The following is a 21,177-nucleotide window of genomic DNA, read 5'->3' on the forward strand; positions in this document are numbered from 1 at the left end:
TGTCTTTGTTCTCGTTGGTTTCAACGAACATCTTTATTCCTGCCTTCATTTCGTGATGTACCCAGTAGTCATTCAGGAGCAGGTTGTTCAGTTTCCATGTAGTTGAGTGGTTTTGAGTGAGTTTCTTAATCCTGAGTTCTAGTTTGATTGCACTGTGGTCTGAGAGACAACCCCATTGTCTCAGCCCAAAATCTCCTTAAGCTGATAAGCAACTTCAGCAAAGTCTCAGGATACAAAATCAATGTACAAAAATCACAAGCATTCTTATACACCAATAACAGACAAACAGAGAGCCAAATCATGAGTGAACTCCCATTCACAATTGCTTCAAAGAGAATAAAATACCTAGGAATCCAACTTACAAGGGACGTGAAGGACCTCTTCAAGGAGAACTACAAACCACTGTTCAATGAAATAAAAGAAGATACAAAGAAATGGAAGAACATTCCATGCTCATGGGTAGGAAGAATCAATATTGTGAAAATGGCCATACTGCCCAAGGTAATTTATAGATTCAATGCCATCCCCATCAAGCTACCAATGACTTTCTTCACAGAATTGGAAAAAACTACTTTAAAGCTCATATGGAACCAAATAAGAGCCCGCATCGCCAAGTCAATCCTAAGCCAAAAGAACAAAGCTGGAGGCATCATGCTACCTGACTTCAAACTATACTACAAGCCTACAGTAACCAAAACAGCATGGTACTGGTACCAAAACAGAGATATAGATCAATGGAACAGAACAGAGCCCTCAGAAGTAACGCCGCATATCTACAACTATCTGATCTTTGACAAACCTGAGAAAAACAAGCAATGGGGAAAGGATTCCCTATTTAATAAATGGTGCTGGGAAAACTGGCTAGCTGAACGTAGAAAGCTGAAACTGGATCCCTTCCTTACACCTTATACAAAAATTAATTCAAGATGGATTAAAGACTTAAACGTTAGACCTAAAACCATAAAAACCCTAGAAGAAAACCTAGGCATTACCATTCAGGACATAGGCATGGGCAAGGACTTCATGTCTAAAACACCAAAAGCAATGGCAACAAAAGCCAAAATTGACAAATGGGATCTAATTAAACTAAACAGTTTCTGCACAGCAAAAGAAACTACCATCAGAGTGAACAGGCAACCTAACAGAATGGGAGAAAATTTTTGCAACCTACTCATCTGACAAAGGGCTAATATCCAGAATCTACAATGAACTCAAACAAATTTACAAGAAAAAAACAAACAACCCCATCAAAAAGTGGGTGAAGGACATGAACAGACACTTCTCAAAAGAAGACATTTATGCAGCCGAAAAACACGTGAAAAAATGCTCATCATCACTGGCCATCAGAGAAATGCAAATCAAAACCACAATGAGATACCATCTCACACCAGTTAGAATGGCGATCATTAAAAAGTCAGGAAACAACAGGTGCTGGAGAGGATGTGGAGAAACAGGAACACTTTTACACTGTTGGTGGGACTGTAAACTAGTTCAACCATTGTGGAAGTCAGTGTGGCGATTCCTCAGGGATCTAGAACTAGAAATACCATTTGACCCAGCCATCCCATTACTGGGTATATACCCAAAGGAATATAAATCATGCTGCTATAAAGACACATGCACACATATGTTTACTGCGGTACTATTCACAATAGCAAAGACTTGGAACCAACCCAAATGTCCAACAATGATAGACTGGATTAAGAAAATGTGGCACATATACACTATGGAATACTATGCAGCCATAAAAAATGATGAGTTCATGTCCTTTGTAGGGACATGGATGAAATTGGAAATCATCATTCTCAGTAAACTATCGCAGGGACAAAAACCAAACACTGCATGTTCTCACTCATAGGTGGGAACTGAACAATGAGAACACAAGGACACAGGAAGGGGAACATCACACTCTGGGGACTGTTGTGGGGTGGGGGGAGGGGGGAGGGATAGCATTAGGAGATATACCTAATGCTAAATGACGAGTTAATAGGTGCAGCACACCAGCATGGCACATGTATACTTATGTAACTAACCTGCACATTGTGCACATGTACCTAAAACTTAAAGTATAATTAAAAAAAAAAAAAATCTCAGACAGGTCTAAATTTGGTCACCGGAGTGAAGAATAAATACTCTGATGTCTCTAAAGACTTTACTTGGGTTGCCAAATTCTCTCTGACAGGCTCTGGAAATACAAATGGAAGGGCTTTAAGTATTATTTCCTACTTTTCCCAGTACTTCTTTCTGTATGTGCATACAGACAAGCGGGCCATCTCAGGAGGGTGACTGGAAAAGTAGCAGGAGCAGTGGACTGGGAGTCAGCTCTGGGACCAACTCATGACGTGACCTTTGACCGATCTCTAGACCTCTAGATTTAAAAAAAAAAAATTGACTGAGCATCTCCTCAGGCGTTTTTATGGCAGAAATTCTATAAGCTATGTATTAATGACTTTTATAATAAATTAAATAAAACAAATAAATTTATTTAAGGAAATTACCCTGGCATAAGTCCCTAGCTGTTGCAAGGCTTAATTTTCTCCACTACACTGTGTAGGATATAAAATATGCTAAGGCTTCATGAGCAATATAGAAACACTCTGGTGACTGGCTCTAAGATTTATCATGATGGCTGCAGCTTGCTGTGCTGGAATAACTTTCCTTGGAATGGGAAATACAATAGCTTATCATTTTCTTATAGAGTTAAGAATGGTTTTGCTTTTTGAAGAAGAAACTGACTCCGTAAGAAAACTGTAGGATAGTGTCTTGTTAAACCACATTCTTCATGCCAATAATTGAAGTTATATGGATTCAAGAATATTGTTTCTCTTTAAACTGATGCACATGATTTCATTAAAAATAAAATTTAGCATGGAAGATGTTTAAAAATACACAGATTTGCTTATTCTTCTCAAGAGCAATGAACTCAAACTCGACTCTATAATCATCATAAATAAAGATTCTGCTTTGCTATGTGCTTTATCTTGGCGCTAAGAAGAAAAACCTTCATCTATTTATATTCAGTCTGCTCCTATCTTTTTGTTTATTTAGACTTAGATACAACAGTCCTTTACTTGCTTGTCACTACCATTGCTCACAACTTTTTCTAAAAGCCAAAATGCTGTCAGAAACCCAAACTTCATCCATTCATTAATCTTTCGGCGCCACAACCTGGGAGGTCAGTATCTGGTCACTGTCTTCAGTTTCATATGATATGCAATATTTATATCACGTGGATCTGATCTAAATAGCCTAGTCTTGGAACTCAGTCTAAGAAGGTCATTTGGCTTACAAAATACTACTTGGCCTACATAATAAACACTGGTCCAGCACACAGGAACTACGCTGCCCTTTACTCATTCTTCCCAGTGCCCCAGACCTGACCATGGAAGAAAAAATAAGTAGCATTAGCTACCTATCTATATTTCAGGAAGTAACTTTTTATTCCAAAAGAACATTTCTCATTGCCTGTCACTACTCCTTTGTATCTTGCATTCTTTTGCATCTTGAAGGTTTTGGATTCTTTAGGAATTCCCCTTAAAATTGAGATGTCAGAGACAAGGTGAAGTTAAGGAGGTTGGGGTTCGGGGGTAGGTGGATTATTGTAGCAACTCAAGAGTTGAAGAACTGAAGAATCTGAAAAATGAAAGAAAGGTATATGCTGAAGGAAGGTGTGAGAAATCACCAAAAATCAACATTGCTATCTCATAATTTTGCCAAAAACCAGCCTTCCTATTATTTATCCCTGCAAAAAAAATGTGAACCAGTTTGCTTTCAGCAAACACTAAATTTCTATGTTCAAAAAGTAAGCAAAACATCTCTAAATAATAAAAATTAGTGACATATCTTACTTTATTCTGCCGACTTAGCAGTTTTCTGAGAAATCAATGAAAAGTCACTGTATTTGACCATCTTTGGAGTTTTCCTCTAAAGTGAGACAATTAATAATAAATAATAAAACGTGAATGGTGGCAGCTTCTGATCGTTCTCTTCCCGACCCAGTTTATCAGGGTGTTTCATTCAACTCTCACAGCTAGTCCATTAACCTTGTGGCATTCAAAATGGTATTTGCAGATCACTGTATTTCCAGGTACTCAATTTCCATACATTCTTTTTATTAAAGCTGATCTGCCTGAGGATATGCCTGTGGTGCTCGTTTATAATCTCTTTCTCCCTCCCACAAAAGATAGGCAAACTTTTTACCCATCCAGAATCTTACCCTAGTTTGTGGCCCACAAATGTCAAAACTTCTGGGGCACCAAACAAAGCAACATTTTCAAATATCAGTATCAGCTTTTAGAAAATGAATTATTCTGACAGGGAAGCAAAACCTTTGGAAAATATGATGGTTTCAAATTCTTTGCTTTTAGCAAAATTGAAGGAGAGCCAAAATCAACTTGTCAGCTGATAAATCATTAAAATTAATCTTGATGAAAGTTAACTTACATGAATTTTGGCATTTATTGCAAAAAAAAAAAAGAACTAAGTGAATACTGCTCTAATATCACACGGAATAACACTGCTATAACAAACTTATTCCATTCCATTCTTATCTACTTATTTGTATGAATAAGATTTATAGCATCTACGCATTTAAAAATTAACAGAAATAAAACTGATGCTAAATCCCATTTCATCCTAGCAATAAATAGTAAACATAGACACATGAATTGATTGGGAAAACACCTGACCCATCTAATAATGGTAATAAAGTATGCCTAAGAAAATTTTACTTTATGTTAACAATTATATATTATTTTAAAAATATATATTTATCTTGTACTAATCATGTAGTAATAATATTGTAATGATAATGCAATTCAGGAGAATGTTTTAAATACTTAGAGCCTTATGGTCACAGAAAATTCACTGTTTTAAGTTTTATAAGAATGGACATATGTCTTAAGAGGTATGTAATGAGTGATCCATAAAGTAAAGCAAGCATAAAACTATTTACATTATGATTTATGAAAGAAAAATGCAATGAAAATTATAGTTCCAAGAGAGATATAAAATTTCCAACTGTTAAAAAGAGCTTATGCAAGTATTTTTAAATATATGATTGCCTTTTATTATAATTGCACTTATATGCCACTGAACATATTCTAAAAAGTCATACAGTAGTTTTGTTTTAGTATGTCAATATTTATAATAATACAGTGACAATTCCATCATTTGCAACTATTTTACTTCTTCTTTTTTTTTTTTTTTTTGGGATGCAGTCTCGCTGTGTCGCCAGGCTGGAGTGCAATGGTGCCATCTCGACTCACTGCAACCTCCGCATACTGGGTTCAAGTGATTCTCCTGCCTCAGCCTCCTGAGTAGCTGCGACTACAGGCGCGCACCACCACTCCCAGCTAATTTTTTTATTTTTAGTAGAGAGGGGGTTTCACCGTGTTGGCCAGGGTGGTCTCAATCTCTTGACCTCGTGAACCGCCCACCTCAGCTTCCCAAAGTGCTGAGATTATAGGTGTGTGCCAGTGCTCCTGGTCAACCATTTTACTTATAACAAAAATTTTGAATGTCAACAATATGCAAGGAGGTTAATAGTTTTTCAAAATTCTCTTAGAAGTAAAAAAGCAAAATTCTTTGATACTATCATATTCTCTAATGTTAGGGCAATTCTGTGGCATTTTCAGCAGCTTATAAGCAAATTTGCAAAAGACAATAAGGCTTGAAGGCTGAGACCCATTGGAACCATTTGTGCTTCCACTATTGATCTAAAATGCCAGCATAGTCTCAGAGGCCTCATCGGTATCTGAGAGACTGTATGTGAGTTCTGTTTCAAATGCTTAATCCATGTTTTCACTTTATTATCAAAGAATTAACAGTATTTCACCAAATCTTACATGAAGTTATTTCCTCTTTTAATTTGTATGCAATACCATCATCATTAACAGTGTGTCACAAAGAGACATGAGCACTTAGAGGAAACAGAACACTCTCCAGAGTCTCTACTCCCAGCTCAGCCACTTCTAGCTGAGTGAACTCAGATAACTCTGTTGAGCTCTGAAATCTGTCTTTCAATCTGTAAAAGAAAAGAAATTAATATCTGCCTTGCTACTTCACTGGGTTTTTGTAATAAATGATGTTGTATTTCTTACTAAACTGTAAAGATCTATGTAAAACTTAAATACTATTTTTAGTGAAAAAGTGATTATTGGTTATCTACTCTCTAGCACTATGCTACACACTACTGGGAAATAAAAATACATATTCCCATTTTCATGCTTAAGAAGCTTCCAAACTACTTACAGAACGCAGAAGTGAGAAGGAGGATGGTGCAGTAAGAATAAAATCACATAAAATAGAAAGCAATACTGCTGGTCTGACATTTCTCTTGCCTATTCTTTTCTTCAACAACAGATAACATTCTCTGGCTAACGGTGATTAAGCCCCAGGAAACATATCCAAGACACGTAAGAATACTTTTCAGCCTTCTAACACAAGTATGAACTGTAAGAAAAAGAGAGCTGCATGCTCTTTTACCATCTCAACTTCCCCCAAATTAAAGAGACTTGAATGTAAGGCAAAGTTTGTTTTTTTCAGCTTGTGCATATATTTGTATATTTATTTGAAAACTTTGGCCTTTTTACAAAGAGGGAAACTAAATGAAAATGAGGCATTGCCGACAGAGGCTATTCCCCTAAAATAATAAGTAAAATCAGTCGAAATAAAATGTACTCTATTTACTCATTGAACACATCATTAATGAACAGCAGAGAACATGACAGAACAGATCTCTCCCTTCATGGAGCTTATGTTCCAATGAAATTAGAGAAACAATAAACAAGTAAACAAAAAAAAAATAAGGTATTTCCATTTAGAGATTAACATGGGGGTTAGTGACATACAAAGGTCTAGGGAAAGAGTCAAGAGATAGGAGAGAAAAAAGAAGTCCAAAATCTGCCAACCAAGAATATACTGAGGATGCCCAAATCACAGAGAGAAAGGCAGCATGGCTAAGCACCAGAACAGTGGGTGCTATAGTTTGAATGTGCCCCTCAAAAAGCATGTGTTGGAAACTTACTCTCCAATGCAGCTGTGTTGGGAAAGGGGGCCCAATGGGAAGGTCGTGAGGGCTCTGCCTTCATGAATGTTTTAATGCCAATTATAAAAGGGCTTGAGGATGTGGGTTTGATCTCCCACTGTCTCTCACTCATGTGATGCCTTCTGCCATGTTATAACACAGCAAGAAGGCCCTCACTGGATGGCGGTGGCTCAAGCCTGTAATCCCAGCACTTCGGGAGGCGGAGATGGGCGGATCATGAGGTCAGGAGTTCAAGACCAGCCTGGCCAACATGGTGAAACCTCGTCTCTACTAAAAATACAAAAATTAGCAAGGCGTGGTGGTGCACACCTGTAATTCCAGCTACGCAGGAGACTGAGGCAGGAGAATTGCTTTAACCTGGGAAGTGGAGGTTGCAGTGAGCCGAGATCGCACCATTGCACTCTAGCCTGGGTGACAGAGCGAGACTCCATCTCAAAAAAAAAAAGGAAAGCCCTCACTGGATGTGACCCTTCAATTCTGGTGTCCCTAGCCTCCAGAACTGTGAGCCAAATAAATTTCTCTTCACTATGAATTACCTAGTCTGCGGTATTCTGTGATAGCAATATAAAACAAACTAAGACAGTGGGAGATAATATCACAGAACAGGCCCAAGCCAGATGAAGCAGACTTTTGTAGGTTGAGGTAAGGAGTTTGACTTTTATTCTAAATGTATTGGGAAGCCACTGGAAAGTTTTAATTAGTGGAGTAATATTTGGCTGAGGTTTATAAAATATCATTCTGGCAGCTTTGTAAATATGGAAACTGTGTGGATATTCTGATTGATACATCCTAAATAAAGAACAGCCTCAATAAAAGGGAAGTTCAAGGGGAGAGATGAGGGAGAGTGGAGCAAGAGACAAGATGCCAAGAGAACTGGCCCTGGGATAGGCTACAAAGTCAGTCTGTGGCACAATGACAGAAGCAGTTTGTCCTTAGAAATGGATCTTCCTTTCTTTACTCCTTTCTTTCCCTTACCCCAGATTCCTTAGATACTCACTGCTGTCATCTGTCTTCTAGCTGCCCAAATGTTGACACTACGAATATTTAACGTGCCAAATTAATCAACAATTTCTTCCACAATGCTCATTTTAAGACAAAGTTTATTCCATCAATGAAGTTCATTTCAGCTAGGTGTTAGAAGGGAAGTAATCTGATTCTGCTAACACTAAGAGGATAGTCTTCTACCAACTCCAGATATATATGCATTTTTTAAAACTTGTTAAAATACATGAATTGCACTTGCATTACAACTATGCAATAAATTTCAGACAATAGAGGAAAATGGTAGGAATAGGCAAGAGTGTGAGGAGGGATACTCTCCATGTATAATTCACCCTTGCATGTTACAGTATTAGAATAGTGCCTGGTATATAGACATTTATGAAAGAAAGAATTAATATATTTTATACAATTGAGCACATTTCTGCCCTATTTGAAAAATAAGATCAGTTGTTCTCCTTATAATGTGATCTATCAATTCAGTATATTTCTTTACTTTGGCTCAGAAAACAGACAGCAGTAAAGTATAATTAAAGAATTAACCATTCTACCAAAAAAGCAAGCCATCAATGTCTGAGTATCTCACATAAGGACAAGTTCAACTAAGACTATTCTGTCATTGATATCTGAGACTAGTGACTCAATAAATCCCAAGTTTAAAATGTGAAGCAAACTATAGTGCTACTACTTTTTAAGAGATAAAGACATAAATAAGGAAAAGAAGTCAGATTGAAAAAAATATTTAATGATATCAGCACAATGGTCTCCAATGTGCAAGGCACTGTGGGGAGGGGAGGAGATACTCCAGATTCATTTGGAGATTAACTGTATATTTAGACAGGCCTGATCATCTTGCAATGACCTATTCAGGCAGCACTTACATTCTGAGAGACACATGGATTCATATGACTACTTATCAGCCAATTCCTTTCATAATTATAGACTCAGACCAGACGCTTGTTATTCCTACCAAGATACTTCAAGGTATCACATGGTGCAAATCAATAGGGGACATTAGCTCATATTTGGAAGTGCTTCCAAATATAACCACTCTTCATTTTGCAGTATCATCTGGGAATAAGGCAAGCCACACACATAAATTTTTACATACCTGAACTTATGTTTAAATGCTGAAACGTGTTTTATTTATTTTCTAATATATTAAAACATTTGACTGCTCTCCAAAAGAGGATGTGGTCATGATTGAAGCTTTTCTTAATTCAAATCATAATTGTCAGTATTGTTAATTTGAGTGTAATTTCCTCAGTGATTAAGTATAAAGGGATGGTTTGCCCCATACTCATTACCTCCAAAGTATCTCTTTCCTCCATTTGACAATAGCTATAACGAGTAGACTATCCTTTTCCCACTATTCCCCACAGTGCCTTGCACACTGGAGACCACTGTGCTGATTTAATTTCTTTTTTCAATCTGACTTCTTTTCCTTATTTATGTATGCATCTCTTAATTTGCTTCTTTTAATCACCAAGAAATCACCTTATTTATGTCTTTATCTTTAATTTGCTTCTTTTAATCATCAGTAAAAGAATATCATATTGCCTCTGATATTTTTAAGAGAAAATTGTCATGAATTCATCCCAGTAAACACTGCAGTTTAAGTACATGACTATAGGGCTTTTACTTCTTTGATTTTATGTTTTTATTTTTGTCTATTGTACTGAAAATATTGATTAGTAATGACATAAACATACTTTATTAATGTTATACTACTATATATTATACACACAGACACATATACATATGCATATATATGTATATATATGTACATATACAATGGGTTCAAAATAACAGTGCTAATATTAGTACACAATTACTCAAAACAGTTTAAGGTTTTTTTACAGTTTGTTTTGGCCATAGTATACATCCCACTAGGAGTGTGCAGGCAAATTATCTGTTTTAAAATCACTTGGCATAATTCCCCTCTGTGTAATTAAGCCAGCAATGCAAAAAGTAGTTATATTTTAGATTATTTTGGCTTTTTATTTTAGGAAATTTATTCCCTTCGCTTTTGTTTTAAAAATTACTTAAAACATTACATAGTTCCAGAGTTACATTTATAAAACAGTGTACATTTAGAGCCCTCTAGTTTCTATTCCTATTGTCTTTATCCTGTTCTCCCTCATAAGTAATATTTTTATTAGTTTCTTATTTATCTTTTCATTTTTTTACTCTTGTTTAAAAAACTAGGAATAATGTTCAGCTTTCAGAAAAGTCACAAAGATAGCACAGAGAGGACTATACGCCCTTTACCCAGCCTCCTCTAATGTTGACATCTTATATAATCATGGTACAATGTCAAAAATGAGAAGTAACATCAACTAAGCTATAAACTTTTTTCAGATTTCATTAGTTTTTCCATTAATGTCCTCTTTCTGTTCCAGCATCCAGAATATCTCATTGCATTTAGGCCATTTTTATAAAAATAAGCTAGCATATATTTTTAGTTTATACTTACATATCCTATTTCTTAGATAATATGTGGTATACTACATACTTATGTCTTAATTTTGCTCTTTTGAATTAACAGCATATCCTGGAAATCATTCCATAGCAGTATATGTAGCTATTCCTTATTTCTTTTTATACTGGTTTATATTCTATTTTATAGATATGCCATAGTTTAATTAAAGTCTTCTATACATAAAAATTTTAATTGTTTGATAATAAATTGAATCACTGTGAAGAATTTCTTTGAACAATAAAATTGTGAATTGCTAAAAGGCAGTCATGTCTACAGCCAATTGATAAAAAACCCTAAGAGTAAGTGATTAAATGATTAAACCTTACAATAAACAAAAGTTGGTATCACAAACACCACTAATAAACAAGTACAAGCAACATCATTTTCCTTTACTGCATATGACCCAGTTTTAAAATGTTTTTAAATGCAAAATGAAATACATAAAATTTAAAATGAAACCAATTACCATGAAATACATTTACCAATCACTAAACAAATTATGATGTGGTGTCATATGTGCATCTATATCAACACGGAAAATAATAAGATCTAGGGGCAGTCTAATAACTATTACAACTTCAAAGCGGACATGAGCATAAATCATGTTTCAAGATTTCTGTAACTTATAACGTTACATGAAAGTATCTATGACTTCTATTGATGACAAAGTCACTGATATTGCCAATATTGCTGTGGTTTGTAACCTATATTTATAATTGAAGGAAATGCTGTATTTCAGTTAAAGGGTAATGAAAATAAAGATGTGATTTTCCCCATCCAAATTCCCAGAGCCCCTGAATTCTACCTATGGACCCCAAGTTAAAAACCTCTGCTGTAAAGTCAGGAAAAATCAGTGAAAGAAAGTACTACCCAAGTATTTTGCTAATTTGCTTTTTTAAGAGAAGCCAGAAACTAAAGTTTATTGAACATGTACTATTTGCCAGTTCTCTCTCTCCCTCTCTCTCTCTCTCTCCATATAATTATAACATATATAATATATACATACACATTATATATTTAATAATTATGTACATAACATCATATACATATTTATTCAATATACATATAATTTTTATAGCACTTAATCCTCACAAAACCCAGTGAATTTAACAGAGGTTTAGTAACTTGCCCGCAATCACATAGATAGTAAAGACAGGGTCAGAAATCAAGGCCTGTATGATTTCCACTATATCATGAAGCTTGATATAGTAACATATCAGCAGTATTTGCATTTTAAAAGTGAAAACCTATAGAAAACAATATTAGAAGGAAAAGGAAGAGAGGAATGGGGAAAGAGAATTGCTTTAGTGGTAAAATTTCAGACCTTACAAATGAGCTAGAAAGGATGTTCTTTTGTAGTAAGTTTTCCTTAAAATTCTTCAGATCACTTTGCTATTGCATACCTTTATAAAACCAGCCACATGCACTATCTGGTTAATTTCCATGACAATGGCTTATCTATATCATGGATACTCTCGATATATTCCAATTAAAGGAATAAAATACATGTAGGATAATAAGGTGGGTCTTGACATCTGTCTGCGATCACTGCCATACTTTAGTCACATTTATTTACTAGGCTGTTTCTTACTGCTGTGTTAGAGTAAGGTTGCATACCTAGAATTCAGAGATCCCAAATGGTGAAACTCTAAAAGCTAGCCTTGTAAAACACATGACTGGACATACACTGAGTACTGGAATGCTGCCATGGGATCATTCATGTGCATGTCTCTCCTAGATATAGCTGATTCTGCATCTACTCTGTCTTTTTATTCCTCTGTTTTGTTTTAATCCCCCAAAATATCATTCTTAGGCATTCACTCTGTCTTGCAGGTATAGTCACATTTCTGCTCAAAGCTCTTGTTCCAGAAGTGAATACCTGATATAAATTTCTCACCTAAGTAATCAAGATGGTACAATACTAAATGGTGAAGTACCACCTTTTACCAAGAAATAGCCACAATATCCCCTTTCGAGCTAGTTTGCTAAACCTAATGTTGATAATCCACTGGGTCATTAAGCACCAAAATGATCACTTACTTTGCAAAACCCCTGGTCATCATTTTTTCATTGCTTACAAAATGTTTGCATAACCAGTATTTTTCAGACTGCTTCATTTCATATTTGAATTTTTTAAGCCCGTGGCGTGCTTAGCTTGGGAAAATCTTTTTGTGCCAGGCTGATTATGTATCCAGATTGAACTGCAGCCTGTTGATTTAGGTCTTTGTGTCCGATAAAGGGAAAACTCTAGAAAAAAAAAAAGCATAGTTCTGTCCATTGGCCCAGTCAAAATGAGCAGTCCCTAGAGCTGTCTAAAGTCATCATGGAAAGTCTCCCTGCCAACTGCTTCACACTCTTTCCTTTGGCTGCTATTCATATCTCAAGTGTTCTCCAGGACACATGGCCCTGTGTCAGCAGCTCACCCTACCTCTCATTGCAACCTCCTTGACCTCATCAGCATTTCACTTCTCTGTCCCCTGTGACAGACTGTTGGCAAATATAGTCACAAGTATTCCTCCCATCTCACATGCCCTTTAGCAGTGTGACTTTGCCCCTCTTCTCATCAAGACATGGAATCTATTTCTCCTCTGTGGAAATCTGGGCTAGGCCTTTGATTTGTAGAAATAACACTGTGGCTTCAAAGGCTAGGCCTTAAGAGACCTTACACCTTCCATTTCCATTTTTCTCTCTCTTGGAACTAACTGTGAGAACACCATGCTGTCAAGGAGTCCAGTCTCACCAAGTGGAGGCTGAGAGGCCATGTGGAGGAGAGCCAAGGTGCCCCAGCTGACTGGCAGCATCAACTGCCGGAAGTATTAGGGAGGACATCTTGAACTGCCAGCCCCAGTGAAGTCATCATATGACTGCGATCATGTGATCTCAGGCAAGACCAGCAGAAGTACCATCTAGATTGACAAACCAGAGGATTATGAGAGAGAATACATAGTTGTGTTTTTAGACTACTGAGTTTGGGATGGTTTATCACATAGCAATAGACAAATGAAAAACCTTCCTTTAGCAGTCTTGCCTCGAGAGTCATCCAACACTTTACTTCAATCTTTTGTTCAAGAGGGAAAAAAAAATCTCAGTCTTTACTAACATACCATTTTTGTTCACATAAGGGCTGCATTTTATGCCAAATTTTGGTCAGCCAAAGGTAAGGATATGAACATTACATAATAAGGAAATTCCTCAAACTGCTGTCAATATACAGATAGAAAAATATTCACTATGTGCTTAAGACATGACATTAAGAAGTAAAGTATAAACATTGACATAAGGAAGACCTACTTAGAACGGTAGCTCCACTACCTTTAAGGATTGCATTAATAGGAATTGACAGAAGCTCTTTCCAGTATGTAGAAGAGTCATCTTTCTACCTAGGCTAATCAAATGGAGTTTTACTGTAGAGCTGGGCTATAGGTATTGCCCAGCCTAAGTCAAGACAGAGGCCTGAGTCCAGTATTTCCTCATCATTTTTTTCATTCCCATTCTTGGGGTTTTCTTAGTTTCATAGCTCTTGTGTTACCAATACTTAGAAAATGAATGGTTTACCAGGGTTCTATATGCTGTATATAAACCTCCTAAATCATAAGCAAAATTGAGCAGCAAAAGTCATATTATTTTAATTATATTCTCAGAGACTTCTTTGACCACCCCCAGCAAGAGAGAATAATAAATACTGAGTTAGAGAACAAAGTGTCAACTTAGAGAGCAAAGTGTCACTTAAAACCAAAAGTTCTTTTTTAATAGCACCCATTTAAATGTTTCACTTAAAAAGTAGTAACTCAAATATACACAAAGAAAATTTATTAATTTTTAAAGGCATAAATCAGTATGAAAGGGGACAAGTTATAAATTATGCATCTCAGAACATCTGTTACCCTAAAGATCTAGACTAATGTTTAAAAATAAATTTTTCAGGGGGCTTCCCCTTTCAGGAAGATGGAGTAGATGTTCTTTTTTGTATTCATCCAAGTAAATACAACTAAAACCTCTGCATATGTAAAATTTATATAAGAAGACTGACAGGTTAAGAAAAGGGAGACAGGCTAAGGACCTCAGGATCTGAGTGACAATACAGTGATGAGTTCCCTGCATTTTCTCATTGCCTCATATATTCAGGATTTGCAGCTAAAGAAGTCAGCAACCCCAAAACACCAATGAATACAAAAATAAAACAATAACAACAATAAAAGTCTGCTCTTTCTAGTCAAATGTCCTGGAAAGAGGCAGAAAATGTTTAAAAAATAGTTGCTCTACTCTTGTCAAACATCATCGCCACTCCCCTCCACCACCACCATCAGCAGCAAAAGCCAAGCAAAAACCCACTTTTGTCAGGCTGTAACACGGCATCTCCACATCCCTCATTGTAGTAGTAGAGTAGGAAGTGGGACATTCATTCCCCACTGAGCACTAATGAGCCAGCCCCCCTCAAACACCCATGGTGTCAGTGGAGACCACCTGGGGAGCAATGGAGATGCCATGGGGAACATACTTCTACCCACCCAGCAGTAATGAGGTATGCTTCTGCCTTCTCACTGGAGTGGTGTCAGAGGAGACCTACTGGAAAGTCAGGACTTTCATCGCTCTCCAGGAGAAAATGAGGCCACTCATCCTCTCCCCATGGGGTCAGTAGTAGCTAGGAAGGGAGCAGCAAGGATGCCCTCCTACTCTTCCCCACTAGGAAGGTATCAGTGGAGACTAGAGGGATCTGGAACTCCCATTCCTGCCCAGTAGTAACAAGAAGTATATGGCTTTGGTTACCAATGTATCCAAACTGGGGAACCTGAATGGACTGCTACACAAACCCAGCAGTAACAAGGTAGCACTCAACCTTCCTTTGGTGTCAGAGAAAGCCATCTCAAACAGAGATTTGAATAAGATCTGGAGTCTTATAACATAGTACCTAAATGTCTAGGTTTTAATTGATACTTATTCATTACACCAATTACCAAGAAAATCTGAAACTAAATGAAAAAAGATAGTTAACAAATGCCAGTAAGATGATAGCGATCTTAGAATTATCTGACAAAAATTTTAAAGCAGCCATGATAAAAACATTTCGATGAACAATTACAAATACACTTGACACAAAATAGGATGTCTCAGCAAACAAATTTTTTAAAGTTTCAGCAAAGAGGTAAAAGACATAATTAAGGACCAAAGGGAAATTTTAGAACTGAAAAATATAACTGAAATTAAAAACAAACAAACAAACGAAAAAAAAACAGTGGATGGGCTCAACAGCAGAATGGGAACAGAAGAATCAGTGAACTAGAAGACAGGATGATAGGAATTACCCAGTCTGAACAACAGGGAGAAAATAGATTGAAATAAGTTAACAGATTCTAGGGGACCTTTGGAACTGTAACAAAAGATCTAATTGTCATGTTTTATTCTTGAAGGGGTGAAAAAAGAGGATGGGGCTGTAAAAATACTTGAAGAAATAAGAGTTGACCAAAAACTTCCTAAATTTTGCAAAAACAATGCAAACCTACAGATTTAAGAAGGTGAGAATATTCCAAACAAAATAAACTCAATGAAATCTGTACTTTTACACATAATGGTCAAATTACAAAAACTAAAGAAAAAGTCTTGAAAGCAGCAAAAGAGATGTACCTTACCTATAAGAAAAAACAATTCAAATGACAGTAATTATTAATTTTAAAGATATAGAGACCAGAAGGAAACAGCACGCCATTTTTCAAGAACTGAAAGAAAACAACTGTCAACCGAAAATCTTATATTGGGTGAAAATATGCTTCAAGAATGAAGTGGGTATCAAGATATTTTCAGATGAAGGAAAACTAAGATAATTTGTCACCAATAGATCTACTAAAAAAGAATGGTTAAAGAAAATGGTCTCAACAGAAAGAAATTTATAAAACAGGAACCTTGGAACATCACAAAGAAAGAACATGGTAAGCAAAAATATAAGTAAATACAACAGACTTTTCTGGAGTTTTCTAAATCATGTTTGATGGTTGAGGCAAAAAATATAGCACTACTTGATGTGGTTCTAAATGTATGCAGAAGAAGTATTTAAGACAATTGTATTGCAAATAGGGGAGGATAGAAGATTTAAAGGGAGGTAAGGTTTCTATACTTCACTTGAAGCAATAACGTGATAATACCAGCAGACTATGAAGAGTAATGTATACATAATGTGATATATAGAGCAATCACTAAACAAGTTATTCAAAGAGATACATCAAAATCACTATAGAATATAATAAAAAAGAACAAACTATTGATACATGCAATGCCCTGGATGAAACTCCGGAGAATTCGGCTGAGTGAAAAAAGCCAGTCCCTAAATGTTACATCATGCATTGTTCAATTTACATGTGTGTGTGTGTGTGTGTGTGTGTGTGTGTAAAACAAAATTATATAAATGGTCAACAGATTAGTGATTACCAGAAGTTAAGGTGGTGTTGGAGGCAGGCAGTAACTGGATATGGCTATTATAAATGAGAGATTGTTGTGATGATGGAAATGTTCTGTATCTTCACTGAATAAATGTCAGTATCCTGGCTGTGATCCTGAACTCTAGTTTTCCAAGATGTTACTATTGGAGAAAACTGAGTAAAGAGTACACAAGATCTCTCTGTATTATTTTCTATAGCTACATGTGGATCTATATTTATTTAATTTTTAATTTAATCTATATTAATTTAATTTTTTAAATCCACAAGGGTGAATAAACAAAAATAAATAAATTCTTCCTGAAGAGTTATTGTGGTCTTCTCATGTACGTTTCTTTCTGAGCCAGAATCAATTTCACCACGTGAAAAGTCCTGAGGTCCATATAATGACATATCAGCATACTTAGCTAGAGCAAGAATAGACAGTAACAAACAAACATAAAACATTGAACTAAATTCCAAACACCTCTTCAACCCTCCTTGAATTTAAGAATACTAACTTTGTAAACACAGATATTAGAAGTTCCACTGTGGAAAGTAGTTCAGGGCACTGCTTTGAGGGTCCTGAGCAAGATTCTCCTTGCTTATTTGCTATCAGAGTCTGTGTCTGACAATTCATCTCAGGCAACTTATACTCACCATTCCAACTCTTAATTCCAAGCCAGTTCTACTACTATTGAAGGAGGGTCCCAAAGGCATCAAGTGAATCCAATTCCCCACCCTCAAACTCAGCCACTGGGCATGGAAATATTTTAACCAGTTACCCATTCTCTAAAATTTTCAATAGCTTCCCACTTCCTATAGGAAAAGGTACAAACTTCTTAGTCCAGCACAAGAGGCTACTATCTAAACCCTACCCACTTCCATAACTGGTCTTTTATTTGTCCCCTAAAAGACCACTCACTTGAACCAGAATGTTTCTGTTCATCAAACCCAAACTTCTGTTCATCTTCCCACCTTCTTGTCTTCTTCTCATACTACTACTCCAGACTAGAGAGCTTCCCACTCCTCCTCTCTGGCTTCACTAAGTTCTACTTTTCTTTTAAAACTTGCCTCCATTCTGAAGCCTACCTTAAAGATGTCTCTTGCCATTAAATATTCTTTTCTTTCTGCCATCCCTCATTTCTCCACATAGCATTAGTTATTTTTATCATTTCTGTTTTTTTCTGCTCAAGTCCTATCTCCCTATTCAGATTGCAAGCCACTCAAAGAGCCTTTTATCTCTGTAAATCTCTGAAAACAGAAAAAAAAAGTTTATGTTGACGGCCAAGATTTTAATATTAGATCTGGCATAGAAGTAACTTGCTTCCCATCTGGACTTTAAATTCCTCAAATACAAATAAGGAAGATGAATTAGACGAGTAGTTTTTAACCAAGGATATGCATTGAACTTACCTGGGGCTACCTTTGAAAATATGTGACCCTGAAAAAGTGATTTTAACCATCTAAGCTTCCCTCTCTGCATTTATAAGAAGGAGACAATGGTAGCACTTACTTCATAGGACTGTTAATGAGGATTAAGTTAGTTAATACATATAAAGCAATTTTGCATAGCTCCTTGAACATATTAAGCTCCCAATACATTTTAGCTACTGCTAAATACAAATTGTTAAAACTTGATTCACTTGGATATACTTATCATTCTAGAACAGTGTTCCCAACTTACAGTTGGGAGAAGTGAAACAGGGCAGGAACCCCTCATAGGGGCCTGTGAGTACCACCCCAACAACTAGCATGAAAATAAAGGAAAATCTTGAGTTCCCTCAAGGGTAATTCCAGGCACCTAGCTATCCTTAAGAAGTAAATAAACAACTTGATAAGTGGGAAGGTAATAGTAGCTTAAAACAATAGCCAAGGAGTTAGAATCACCAGAATGTTTGGTTCCCTGTAGAAACTAAAGATAACATCTTAACATGTATACCTGAGTTGTTTTTCAGCAACCTGGACCCCCACCAAATGGATCTGCTGGCACTGAGACCTCAGATAAGGGGGAGCTGAGGATTGCACTCTGACCTTTCTTCTAAATTTCTTCCTGAGGGGCCTGGAGAAAGTCTCACCCACAAGCCAGAGCTAACATTCTTTACTACTGACTTTACAATTTTAAACAAAGTTTCTCTTCCTTAACCAATTGCAAATCAGAAAATATTTGAACCTACCTATGACCTGTGGGCCCCTCCACTTCAAGATGTCCTACCATTTTAGGTCAAACCAATGTATAGCCTCTATATATTGATTTATGACTTTACCTGTAACTTCTGCCTTCCTGCCTTTAAAAACCCTTACCTGTAAGTGTAACGTTCTTGTATCGTTTCCACCCTGAGAGCACACCAACAGACAACACGAGGCGGTGTGGAGCAACATGCTGTTTTAATGACGGCCTGGGTGCAGGCGGGCCCCAAGTGACGACTGGGCAAAGTTTTATAGTCTCCTGTAAACAGTAAGTGTCACAGTCCGATGTAACTGCTACGTTGTACCCGGATGGCCTTTTTCTGGATCTTCGTGTCTTCCGGCCAGGGTAGGTGTCTTCCCCCGGCTCTCTTCCTGCTTCTGCTATCGCGCACCCTGCTGGCGCACCCTGCTGGCGCACCCTGCTGGCGCACCCTGCTGGCGCACCCTGCTGGCGCACCCTGCTGGCGCACCCTGCTGGCGCACCCTGCTGGCGCAAGTTGCGCCTTGGGACTGGGCCTGAAAAGGGAGGAGTTATTCATCTTAAGCTTTCAGGCCCGGGGAGAATCTTACAGTAAGCCCTCTGGGAGTTTGAGTCTTAAGCATGAACTGCCTGATTCTCCTTGCTTGGCACTCTGCAAATAAACACTTTCCTTTCTCCTGCTGCAAACCTCAGTGTGGATATCTGGTCTTCCTGCGCTGGGTGAACAGCGGTTTGATACCAAAAGCTCCAGAGAAACTGCAACTAAATTCTTAGATGCATCTAGTACTATCTGTTAACTAAATGAATAATATAGTTTGCTCACAAAAGTATTCCTATTTAAAAAATATATATATATGTGTGTTTTGTGACTAATAAAATACCAAGTCAGGTACAGTGTTACTGAATTCATAGTTGCTTTTTGTCACTATGTGTTTTCATTGTCAACATACACTATAAATATAACTATTATCATGCAACATTCCTTCAGTTTATTTTCTCCATCTTATAATTTTCAGACAGACTAGGAAACACTACCCCCAAAATATCAAATTACTATCAGCATAATTTCCTAATAAACCTGTTCACCATGCTCATCTCAGAGTTCTGGGTAAAGTGATTTCTAGTTGCAACACAGTACATATGGACTTAAAAAGTTTGTAAATAAAACCATAAAAGAAAAAATATAAACTAATGATTATTTTTTAGTGAAAGGAATAGACTTGATGAATGTAAAGGAAAAAATATGACTATGCTACCCAGTAAAATGCCAATAGTCTTTCAAGCAGGTTTCTAAAATCCTAGCAACTCCCTGGAATTCACAATTCAGTAACCCAATATTTGAAGAAAGAAAAAACAAGAAAATGAACAACATGCTAGCATATCACTCCTTCCATAATTGTTGCTCATGCACACCAGAGCATGGATGAAGCTGAATGCACAACTTTTATGTTTAAATTGATAAAGGTAAAACTAAAGAGGGAAAGGGCTAATTAAGCATGTTCTTCAGCATCTTGCAAACTGAAAAAAAAAAATTACAAATAAGAAGTAAATTTTGAAAAATGAAAACTAACTTCTTTGGCAGAGAAATAATTAAATATTGAGCTGTTCCTAAAGGATTATTTTAGAAAACTCCAAATTTTTACTCTTAATTTTTACTCTCAATTCTCACATAATTTTTCGGTACAATATTGTAAGACACGCAAAATATTACTTAAACGTGTTTATAAGAAATAGAAAACTTTCATCGCAGAGGGTTTGATCACATGATTCCCCAGTTGCCCAAATCATCCTTTCTTTGAAGCGCATTGGTGATAAGGGAGATAAAAATAGTTTAAAATTCCACCCTGCTTATGGGATTTTTTTTAATATTAAGCGATCCCTCAAATTCCCATTTAGCTGTAACCCCCAAGGCAGTCTATTTAAGTTAAAAACACACACATACACAAAAAACAGGCAGAAGCAGTCAAGTGGAAAAACAAGAAATAAGAGTATTGAGACTAGTATATACTATTTTTTTAGCAAATCACTTCAACTCTCTGGGTCTCATGTACCTAGTTGTAAAATGCAGAAG

General features: G+C 36.5%; 1 long non-coding RNA gene across 1 annotated transcript in view, besides 1 other annotated feature; it reads right to left on the bottom strand.

Moving 5' to 3' along the window:
• Positions 1-19,482, bottom strand: part of LOC124900637 (uncharacterized) — a 34,506-nt gene extending 15,024 nt beyond the window's left edge. Inside the window, exon 1 of the long non-coding RNA XR_007058725.1 lies at positions 19,241-19,482. This is a non-coding gene — a long non-coding RNA (uncharacterized LOC124900637). The remainder of the gene's footprint in view (positions 1-19,240) is intronic.
• Positions 14,877-15,378: an enhancer, noted in NCBI's record as "NANOG hESC enhancer chr5:33293474-33293975 (GRCh37/hg19 assembly coordinates)". NCBI's record gives its function as "activates a minimal SCP1, AML or CMV promoter by ChIP-STARR-seq in primed H9 embryonic stem cells {active_cell/tissue: H9 hESC(primed)}" and the evidence as "EXISTENCE:reporter gene assay evidence [ECO:0000049][PMID:30033119]".

The sequence above is a fragment of the Homo sapiens genome, chromosome 5 (assembly GCF_000001405.40).
Source record: "Homo sapiens chromosome 5, GRCh38.p14 Primary Assembly".
NCBI classification, from domain to species: Eukaryota; Metazoa; Chordata; class Mammalia; order Primates; family Hominidae; genus Homo; species Homo sapiens.